The following is a 12,312-nucleotide window of genomic DNA, read 5'->3' on the forward strand; positions in this document are numbered from 1 at the left end:
AAACCCAATCAGCAACACTACTTTCAAAGTGTCTTTTGACAAGTAATATGTGCATTTTACAAATCCAAAGGCAATATTTGAAGTAGCTCTTCAAAACAGCTGCATTACTCAAAGCTATCTCTGTATCATCGCCTTGTTTCCTGGAAGAAAATGTGGAAATGTGTACTGAAAATGTGTAAATGATTAAAGCATCAGTATAAAGAAAAAACATTCTGAAGATGAATAAAAATTATTTTGAGGGCTTGTTGAAAAACCAAACACCAGATGTCCACGGCTGACTTGCCAAATGAAAATCCTTGAAAGAAAGGTCCAGAAATTGGCATTTCAAATGAATATACCCCAGCTGATTGACACAGGTGTTCCTTTGAGCAATCCTGGATAGCACTGTTGTAGACCCTAGGTAAGCAATTGTGTGATCTGCTTTTTCAACTTTGTGGTAGATTGTATTTTCCAAAGATGACAGCACCAGTACATACCATCCTATATGCTCTTCCTATAAGGTGACATTGACATGTCTCCACCAAATGATGGGATTTACGTTACCTCTTCTTGGACCCGGGTGAACTTTTGACTACAGTAGAAGTGACACTATGTGACTTCTAAGGCCAATTCATAAAATGCAATACAGCTTCCTCCTGGCTCCCTTGGGATGCTGGCCCTAGGAAACCAGCCACTATGCTGTGAGAAAGCCAAGCAGCCACATGAAAAGGCCACATGTAGGTCTTTCAGTCATAGATCCAGTTGAAATCTCCATTGACAGCCAGCCTTTAACCACTATGTTAGTGAGACTTTAGATAATTCTAGCCCCCAGCTTTTGGGCCACCCCAGTAGACAAAAGACAAGCTCTTTCACCCAACCCTGGCCAAATTTCAGATTTGTGAATACAATTTATGTTGTCACTGTTCTAAGCCACTAAATTTTAAAGTGGTTCGTTACATAGCAATAAATAACAGAACAAATTCCAAATGCTTCCACATCTTCTTCAGATAAAATGTAAAGCCCCACGTAAACCTTCATGCATTCCAGTTTGCATTTAAGGATTTCATATTCTATCCAGCCAGATCCACCCCCAGCCCAGACTGACTTACTGGGTCCTGCTTTAGTTAATTGGCTAAGTCTGCAGTTCTCAATCAGGAGAGATTTTGCTTCCCACAGAACATTTGGCAATGTCTGGAGACATTTAATGGTTGTCACAACTGGGGGGAAGGGTACAACTGGTATCTAAATGGTTAGAAGCTAGAGGTGTGGCTAAACATCCCACCGTCCACAGCACGACCCCTCCCCTGCAACAAAGAACCATCAAAGCCTAAATGGGGGCCAAGGTTGAGAGACTCTGACCTAGCTCTGGTCCCCAGCAATGAGGTACTCGGTTTTCACGAATGTCTTCATCATCATGAAGGTTGAAGGTTCTCAACCAGGAATTAAAGAAATAGTGTGTGCTGGGGGAAGGGGAGGTTAGAATATCAGGATTTTCAACCTACACTACTGCTACAGCCTAGATGTTTGTGTCCCTCCAGAATTCATATGTTGAAATCTAATCCACAATGTGATGATATTAAGAGGTGGGGCCTTTAGGATGAGATTAGGTTATGAGGCCTCCCACGAATGGGATTAGTGCTCTTTTAAAAGAGGCTTGAAGGAAACTTTTTTTCCCCTTCCATCATGCAAGGACAGAGTGAAAGGGCACCATCTCTGAGAAGCAGGCTGTCATCAGACTTTGAATCAGCTGACATGTTCATCTTGCATTTTTCAGGCTTCAGAACTATGGGAAATAAATTCCCGTTGTTTATAAAGTATCCAGGCTAAGGATTTTTGTTATAGCAGACTAAATGGACTAAAACAAGTAAGCGTGTGGTGTTCAACCATGGCTACAAATTAGAATAAGTTGGCAAGGGTTTTTTTTGTTAGTTTGCTTGTTTTTTTTGTTTGTTTGTTTTTTTGTTTGTTTTTTTTTTTTTTTCAAATATCACTGCTCAACCCCCAACTCTGGAGATTCTGATTTTAGAGATACTGGATGCTAGTATTTTTTAAAAGCTTCTTAGTTTATTTTAATGAGTAGCTAAGCATGAGAACTGAGGCATTGGCCACTTCTCACCTGGAGACTGTGACTCCTAACCCGTTTCAGGTTAGGTCACAAAGGGGAGATTGGGGAAATCTAGAAAACAAAATTGAAAAATCCCAGTGGGTAATTCTGTTGGCTCCATTCCCCTACTGAAAACCTCTGCCTTACATAGTCCTCTGCTCTTAGTCTGCCATATTCTGGCAAGAAAAAGACCTGAGCTGGACTCTTCCTTCATTCTAGCACACTTATTTGGGATGGAAGCAAACCTTAAGAATTAATTGTTTCTTGTCAAGCCACTAAGTAGTACCATTTTTTAGTAAATGCTAAACAATTCTGTCATAATAAGCTCAGTCTGCCGTGCACCTCTTCACCAATAAAATAAGCTCTGTTTACTAGATTTTCCATTAATTACCTAAGATGGATATAAAAAACATTACTCAATATTCTTAGAATTTTACTACTGGAGTGTCAAGCTAAAGCAAATAATTTATATATTTACATAGTTCAAGATGATGACAATAGTTTACTGATAGTCGGTTATTCTGCTGAGGTTTATCTCCCTCTCTGCATAGGACTTAACCTCGCTCCCCAACCAAAAAAAAAAAACGGCAGTTAGGCAACTGTCCTGCCATCTGCCTCAGATGCTAAGCAGATAAAAGTCGGCTCATTAAAAACAAAATGACTTGGGTGGAGAGGAAAAAATGTGAAATAGCCTGTTATTATAATAATTACCTCAGTAAAATGTGTTATTTTATCATGACAATGAGATTTTCTGAACATGTTATTACATTTGTGGTAAAAAGAAAAAAATCAAAACTATGTTTTTGTTTTCAAAATCCAGTCATCGAAGGAAAACACCAATTTAATAAATTTCTCAATAATTATCAAATTGTAACTTTTTAACTCTTTCCCATTAAAGCCAAAGCCGGAAAGAATTCTTAATGTCATATTAATGCTCATTATCTACAACAGAGAAAGCTGAATATCTATAATAGTTTTGAGTGCTAAGTATACAGAGTAAGTGCCCATGTGTGCTGGAAAGCAGTCATAATTGTGAGCATAGGTTGTTGAATCGCATTGCCTGGCTTTAAATCCTAAGCCCACCATTTACAATGTGATCTTGTGCATATAATTTTACCCTTGTAACTCAGTTTCCTCCTCTAAAGAACAGTGATAATAATAGTACTGGGATCATAATTACCTTTGAGGACTAAAAGATACAATGAATAGAAAATGCTTTGCCTAGGCCTTGGCACATAAGATGTACTTAAAGCATGAGCATATTTTCACTCTCAAATCTATAATGACAGCTCATACTTCCCTTTTTAAGTTTCAGAACTATATTTCCAATTGCCTTCTGGATGTCTCCATCTGAATTTCCTCAGGCCACTTCTAAATTATCTTTTCCAGTATATAATAGTTTTTCTCCAATACTCCTTAACTTACCACTAAAACTATTTTACCAAGACAGAGTAAGGTGTTTGGAATGGTGTTTTGAGCTCTGGTATCCTTCCAAAGGATGGCTATATGGTAATTATGCTTCCAGTTGTTATTTATCTCCCTTTTCTAGAGATACATTGTTTGCTGTCAAACAGAATATCTAAAATAATTTTAACTGACCCCTTAAGCGCTTCAAAATATTGTTATCTTATAATCTTTCTAATATTCTAAACAGCACTTTTAATAGTTTCTTAAAGGTACTAAGCCTAATGTCTTACTGAACACTTTCTATAAACAACAGAACTTGATTTTGCCCAGTTGTAAATACATCATTTCTTGAGCACCTCTCTCATACTGCCCTCAGTGTCCATGATGAAAAGTCATATTCTTACTTAGTTTTGAGACCAAAAACCAACTGGGCAAGATCTAGGACTGTCGGACTTTTCTTGATAAAAGTTGAGGCAATAGGCCCAGCGCGGTGGCTCATGCCTGTAATCCCATCACTTTGGGAGGCCGAGGCAGGTGGATCACCTGAGGTCAGGAATTCTAGACCAGCCTGGCCAACATGGTGAAACCCCATCTCTGCTAAAAGTACAAAATTAGCCGGGTGTGGTGGTGCGTGCCTGTATTCCCAGCTACTCAGGAGGCTGAGGCAGGAGAATCGCTTGAACCCGGGAGGCAGAGGTTGCAGTGAGCCAAGATTGTGCCATTGCATTCCAGCCTGGGCAACAAGAGCAAAACTCCATCTCAAAAAAAAAAAAAAAAGAAAAAAAGAAAAAAAAAAGTTGAGGCAATAATGAGCATCAGGAAGATATTGCTAGGCTCGGCCCAAGTGGGTAAGTTAAAAACAGGTGTCATAACAGGATTCAGTGAAATTTATTAACTAGAAGAAATGCAAGTTTTTCTCTCAAGAGAACCAGTAATTCAATAAATAACACCTGAAAATCAGAAAATGTCAGTCTCATAGAGCTACAGCAGAGTATATTTGGAAGATTCAAAATCAATTGAACATCAAGAAAAAGAGAGTTCTCAAAAGATAGGAAAATTTCAGTTTTATAAAAGCCAATCTAATGTAACAGGAGAGAAGCTATTATAACTTGAAACTTCTTCCTGTAGGCTGAATAAAATACAGAGTTAAGAGGTACGATGGAAACTGATAAGAGCTAGAACACAGATCAGATAACAGGCAATCACTATTTGGCTAAAGGAAATACAGAGAGGTTGTTAGAAATTTTCGTTATGCCACATTTCATTGACAATAGTATAATTCCTGCTGAATCGATGCTAAATGTTGAGTTGATCTAAGGAAATAAAGAATCAGAGGCTGGGCACTGCTCCCTTTGTCCGTGAGCCACTAGTGCAGGGATCACAGACTTAAATGACTGTAGGACTTGGGCGTGTAACATACACCAGTGAACTCAGCCTGGGTACATGAAAAGCAGTAACATGATCACAAAAAAAATGGTTACTGACTCTTGAGAAGACAACAGAGAGTGGTGAGGGTTGTAGCAAACCGGAGAGCTCGGACCCCTTCTTAAGTGGGTGGAAGATAAACAGCTCCAGCTCATTGCCTTGAAGAAATGCAGGCCCAGTTGTGCTCAATATCCTGATTAAGAGATGCTGAAACTAGGACTTTATGAAACATCCTGATATTTAAGTTTTACACAAAATTTATCAATTTTTAAACCGCTCTGTGGAATGATGCTATGAGAGCCAAATAAAGATCTACTGGGCACATTTGGTCCGTGGACTGTCAGTTTGCTAGTCTCCACAACAGGGTTTTAGAACTACGCAATGGCCTTTGTTTCTCTTTCTTCACTTTCATTCTTTGTATTTGATTCTGGGACTTGCGTTTTCTAGTCAATCAAGAAGATCCAAAGAGTCCAGGTGAAAAATTAGGAGTATATTTGGGAGCAAACAGACCTTAGTTAGCAAAAAATACAAACACTTAATGATGAATTGAATATGTAAAATTTAGACTAGCAATTTTTGTATTTCTTTTGCTAACCTTGCCAAGATAGATTATGGGTACCTTAATAAAGCTAATTTCTTTTCCCTTGGCCATCTGATATCCTTTAAACCTAAATCTGTTGGATAGTTTCCATTTGCCCATCCAGTTTCCTTCTCTACCCACTCTGTGCCCCCAGGAAGCTGGCTGGTATAGAATGCGTTAAAGGACTACTTTACCTCTAGCTTCCATTGAGTTTGGCCCATCTGGGAGCACTGGCAGGAGTTTGGAGGGTGGAGAGAAATGCAAGTCAGGGCATTTATTTGCCCCACTTTCCCCCTGCTGGTCCATTGATTTAATCCCTTCTTCCTATTTGGAGTTCCTCCTTACACAGCCCCCCATCCCCCATGTGTGAGTGTATGTGTGTGTCCCTTGAAATATTGTCTTTTACTGTTCCTCCAAGCCAGGGATGTTAAGGTTCTCCACTATTACAAGTCCCAGAGGAATATACCACCGGTTGTTCCTTTTCTTAAAACCTTCCCTACAGTCCTCAACTACTCAGTTTGTCTGCTTTCTGTTTCCTGCTGGAAGGCTAACTTAAAAAGCCATTTCAAAGTACACAATCCATCCCCAGCATTGGGATCTTAACTGGACAAAGCGTCTCATCAAGTCCTTTAATTCTTATTTCTTTGGGTCTTTTGGCTGGCCCTATCTTCTTCTAACTCCAGACTAGCAACTGTCCTCCCAACCACACCCACCCTTTCTTTCTTACTCGTTGTCAGAAAGCTTTTCCTGAGGGTTACATTCCCCAGGGTTTAAAATATAATTAAAAAGTGCTTTCGTGGTTTTCTGGTTGGAGGATGAATTTGTACAATCTCTTGGAAAAGCAAAGCTATTTGGCAGTAAGTGTTAGGAGCCTTCAGAATGTATCTAACCTTTGACCCAGTAATTTTACCTTGGGAACTTTTCCTAAGAAAAGAATCCTAAATATTAAAAAATTTGGATAAAGATGCATGCAAATATGTTTATTAATAAAATGGCCAAAAACTATAAACAGAACACACTCCAACATTGAGGTATGTCAAGTGTCTTCTGTTTGCCCCACCAGCTTCTCTCTCCAATTGCCCTCCGCTATAAGAGACCAGCCTTCCTAAGACTCTGACTGTGGCTCCACTACCTTCTGGCTTTGGTATGAACTTTACTAATGGTACGTCTTGATAAAATTGAAGATGAGAAGAAGAATGAAGTAGGAGTAGTTATTTTCCCTGTCCCCTTTCCGCAGATAGCCTCAGGCTGGCCACCATTCTTGAACAAAGGTAAAACGGTAAAACAGCCTTTCACGTGGCCCTCTTCACATAACTCAATCTCCCTAAGGTTCAGTAATATATGCTTCTCTCGTCTTTTGAAGCCTAAGGATAGTGATGCATTCTGTTCTGCGCCCTGCCCCCATGCACACTGTTTCTAACTCAGGGATACTGTGCTATCACTAACACCCTATCCCACGGTTATCAGAAAATTCTCCTCAAATTGCCCAATTTGAGTACACTAAATATATTTCACTGCCAAGAATCTGGTGCAATCACACAGCATATTTAAGTATACTAGGCGCCACAGCCACTATGGAATAATATGTAACATAGAAAGATAATCACAAAAAGTACAACAAAAAAAGATAAATCTAGTATGAACACAGGTACATAAAAATAAAGCAAATAAGATTCATCACGAAAATGTAATGTTTTCTATAATAAAAACATATTACTTTTTTAATGAGAAAATGTTTAATGACTTAAAAGGAAAGACATTGTAAATCATGCCCAGAGGAATTTGAAAAGACCTTGCAGAAGTGGCAATAGAAATGATGCTTGACAATCAAGTAGGACAAATGAGGAAAAAAAAAAAGTGGAGGAAAAAACATGTCTGGCCAAGAATGAAGCCTATGAAAAGGTAAGTGAAAGTGCTTATAGAAAACCAGGATTCTCTTCTGAAGAGCCTAGGGTAAACACAGTTGAGAAAGGGCAGAGGATTTCATAGAAAAGGGTACTGGGAATGTGATTTGGGGCCAGAATGTCCAAGGTTTCATAGCTGATGCTAAAGGTCTCTTCATGGCCTAGGAGAAAGGTTGGAGAGTGGCATTAAACGAACCATAGAAGGGTTTAAGAAGAGGACAAAAAGCTTAGATTTCTGTCTCCAAAGGAAAACTCTCCTACTACTGTGGAGAAAGGAGGGCTAAGAGTTCCCGAAAAAAAAAAAAAAAAAAAAAAAAAAAAAAGCCTGAACTATGAAGTTTTACTAAGGAGTAAAGAGGGTAAAGGGAATAGAAAAGATTTCAGATGCTTCACTAAGACACGATTAATATAATTTGTAAACTAATGAAAGACAGGGGTTGTCTAGCATACATCTGTAAAAGGGAACAATGATACCTGTGGTACACTTAAAATCTTGATAGACTTCCCTGCTACTTTAGGTTGAAAAGGGTTCGAATGGCCAAAAATATTGTTTTCATTTTATGTTGCAATTGTATATCATGCTGAAAAGCAGATCTTTATAAATAAATTTCTTATATTTCTGAACCTTCAGAGGACTAAATTCCCAGATATGGGAATTGTATTTCAAATATTTTAAAGATTTTATTACATAATGCCAACTGATTACAAAAAAAGTTAGGGCCAATTTACAATTTCACTATAAATGAGTTCCTATTTTAACCTAGCTACCACTAAATACTGTCATTTTTTTAAGTCTTTTTTTTTTTTTTTTTTTTTTGAGACGGAGTCTCTCACTCTTGCCCAGGCTGGAGTGCAGTGGCGCCATCTCGGCTCGCTGCAAGCTCCGCCTCCCGGGTTCACTCCATTCTCCTACCTCAGCCTCCTGAGTAGCTGGGACTAGAGGCGCCCGCCACCACGCCCGGCTACTTTTTTGTATTTTTAGTAGAGACGGGGTTTCATCGTGTTAGCCAGGATGGTCTCAATCTCCTGACCTCGTGATCTGCCCACCTCGGCCTCCCAAAGTGCTGGGATTACAGGCGTGAGCCACCGTGCTTTTTAAAGTCTTTGAGTATTTGATGGGTACCAATAGTATCTCATTTCTTAAATTAGTATTTTTTTGGTAACTAGTAAAGCTGGGCTTTTTCCATTTCTTTAAGCATCTGTATTCCCTATCCTCTTTACACATTTATCTATTGTAATGTTTTCTTATACGTTTGTATGAGCATATTCTATGGTATGTGTTTTCACCCATTTCTGCAATAGTTATAAATACCTAAGGTTTAAAAAAAGTATCATCAAATGTGTCCATTTGTTTTCTTTAAATTGGATAAATTATTTTTACATGTAGAAAGAACTTTCATTGCCAACGCCAGAAAATACTGACCTATATTGTGTCCTAGTTTTACACTAAGTTCTTTAGTTTATCATGAATATATTTTGATATAAAGGAAGTTTCTAGATTAAGTTTTTGTCCAAGTAGCTAATAATTGTCCCAACACCATGTATTATTTATCCCGTCTTCATTGATTTTTGAAGCATGACTTACGTTATATTAAATTGCTATTAATATTGGGTTCTATTTCTGAGCTATCTTACTTTTAACAATTTACCAAATGAGTCATCTTTTTTATTATTATTACATATTGTTTCCAAATCAGATTATAGTATCTTTCAAAAAAGGGATTGGGTTCTATTGATGCTTGTGTTTTCCATAGGGCCCATCACTTTACACATAGTAAATGTTCAATAAATATTTACATATTTATTAAATGAATGTTTAAATTGAATATCCTGTGCCTAAAATGCAAAGAATTTCCTCACTATGTTAAAAGGTCACATTCTTCAAGGTGAAACATGAAGTAATTTTGAAATTGGAGAAGGGGGCTGAGAATGGCAGTATTCCAAGTATAAAAATTCCATGTGAATTTGATTAGAATAATTTAAATTTTGTAGTGACTTCACTCTCCAGAGGCTATGCGATCATGAGAAAATGCTGAAAGGGAGAATTTTAGTTGTGAGCTCCCTCTGAGTTATTGAAGTTCAGAAAGGCCTTTAGCTGTGTAATGATGTGCAAATCAGTCCACATTCCACGGTGGCTCAACAGATGAACTATGTCAATGGTGAAATGTTGTCTTTATAATGTCTGCTGATACCTCTATTTGAGAGAACCAGCTGTTGGTCCTTTATACTGCTGTCCATTTAGAAATCTGAGCAATAAAGCAATACTTAATACTTATTGCATATTCATTTACCCCCCTAGCTACATATTAGTGTAAACATGTTAAATTTTAAATAAAAGGCAGTATTAAGCGTATGTGTCTCTGGCACATACAAGTAAGTGAAGCTTTCATGCAGTTGTATATCAAACTGTACAGAGATGACTTCAGACTAAAAAGATTGTGGAACAATTTTGTTTGATTAAGGAGACATAAAACTAGATTGTCATAAAGAATGCTAGGATTACAGACTTCTATAAAAAGACATGCTCACTACATCTATTCATGTGAGTAAAGAATAGTATAGTTACCAGAAAAGGAAAAGTTATGTATTCAGCAAAACCAAAGATATTTGATGTTATTTTTATGACAATATGCAAGTCTTGAAATAAGTATTCATGTATTTTCAAGGTTGTTTATATTATGAAATTAAAATAGTCCTAATTACCATTGCAAAAATCCTTGGGATAATATATGATGAATTCTAACATGTTTCGCTCATGACCTCTTTTGATTTTTTACAATTATTTTACAGGGTAGTTTTGTGTGGTGTGTGTTTGTATTTTACAGACTTTAATTTTTAGAGCACTTTTAGGTTCACAGCAAAATTAAGGGGTAAGTACAGAGTTCCGATATACTCCCTGCCGCCACATGGGCTCAGCCACTATCAACATCACACATCTGTTACAATCGATCAATCAACATTGGCATATGATTATCACCCAGAGTCCATAGTTTACATTAGGGTTCACTCAGTATTGTGCATTACATGGGTTTTGACAAATGCATAATGCCATGATTCCACCACTGCAGTACCATACAGAGTAGTTTCATTGCCCTGCAAATCTTCTACGCTCCACCTATTCATCTCTCCTTCTCCAAGTCCCAGGTAAACACTATCTTTTTACTGTCTCCATCAGATTGCCTTTCCAAAATGTCTCAGGGTTGGAATCAAACAGCATTTAGACTTTTTGGTTGGTGTCCTTCACTTAGTAATATGCATTTAAGCTTCCTTCAAGTCATCCCATGGCTTGATAATTCATTTATTTTTAGTCCTGAGTAATATTCTATTGTCTGGATGTACCACAATTTATTTATCTACTCACTTACTGAGGACATCTTGGTTACTTCCAAGTTTGGGCAATTATGAATAAAATTGGTACAATATTCATGTGCAGGCTTTGGGGTAGACATAGCTTTCAACTCCTTTGGGTAAATACCAAGGAGCACAATTGCTGGATCATTTAGTTTTGTGAGAAACTGCCAAACCATCTTCCAAAGTGGCATTCCCACCAGCAGTGATGATGGTTCGGATTGCCCTATGTCCTTGTCAGCATTTGATATTACCAGTGTTTGGGATTTTGGCTGTTCTAATAGGAGTGTAGTGATACTTCATTTTAATTGGTAATTTTGATAGTTGTTTTAATATAGTCATTACATAAATGAGTTGAGGCTGCAGAAAATTAAATAAGTTACCTATGATTCTATAGCTAGTGGGTAGCAGATTCAAATTTACTTCATAAGACTCTAAAGCCCATGTGCTTTTTTGCACTGTGGTTGTCTTATAGCCAGACAAGAAAAGAATTTAAATTCATACAGGCAGGACACCAGCGGTTAGTTTCCAGTCACATTTATTGCTTGTCTTAATGTAGTTTTCTCCAGAAGAGGACCCTGACACCAGGAAATATTGGGGGTCACAGGGAAATGAAGGAAGGAAAGACAACCAACGAAGGATCTATTTGAATGCAATTATCACTGTGACCAAGTATAGCTTACTCCTACAGGGGAACTTTGGAAAATGGTGCTAAATATTACTCAAAATGTAACGTGTGGCAGTACCAGTCCTTCTACTGTTTGAGACTGGCCCAGGACAAAGAATGTATAAAAATTAAAAGTACTAAGAAACTTTTATAGCAATTTGACATTTTAGTGATACCCATTTTTCCAATAATTCATTTTTACTTTATGTTATTTAAGTATCAATCCATGATAGATTGAAAATTAAAAACTAGCTCAAAAATAGTGTAGAACACAAGGCCTAAAGTGACTTCATACAAGAAACAGGGGAGCTGGGGTATTTATACCTCACTTCCCATCTGGTTGGTGCACAGTTAAGACAGCACCCAGGAATGTTGTTCATTCCCTAGCACTTCTAGCACACAGACTTCCAGTTGTATGTGATGAAGTGGTGAGCCAGGGACATCATCTTTCTGACGATGAGTTAAAGACTAAACAAGTATTATTTTACTGCATGCTATAAAAGGATAACACTATGCACAGGGTCTGTGCACAGGATTAGACTATGCACGGATAAAATGTTTCATTCAAAAGTACCCATATTTTCTACCAAGAAAGCTGAAGATGAGAGCCCCTTCTCTCCTTTTCCCACACCCAGAAAGCCAGTGTACTAACATATGATGAAAATTCTGAAAACTAGATATTCCCAACAAGGATTTTGAATCTTGAGCAAGTGATCCAAAGCAAAGGGAGGATTCAAAGTTGTTCTTAAGAGTTAGACACTTCCTGCTACTGCTTATGCCTCCGTGTTTTCTGGCCTTGGTTAGTCGTAGTCTCCCAGCTTCCTGCTGATTCTGTGATTCTGTGGGCTCCCAATTTTCTTTCAAGAATTTCCTTTTTTTTTTTTTTTTTGAGACTGTG

The sequence above is a fragment of the Homo sapiens genome, chromosome 7 (genome assembly GCF_000001405.40).
Source record: "Homo sapiens chromosome 7, GRCh38.p14 Primary Assembly".
Classification (NCBI taxonomy): Eukaryota; Metazoa; Chordata; class Mammalia; order Primates; family Hominidae; genus Homo; species Homo sapiens.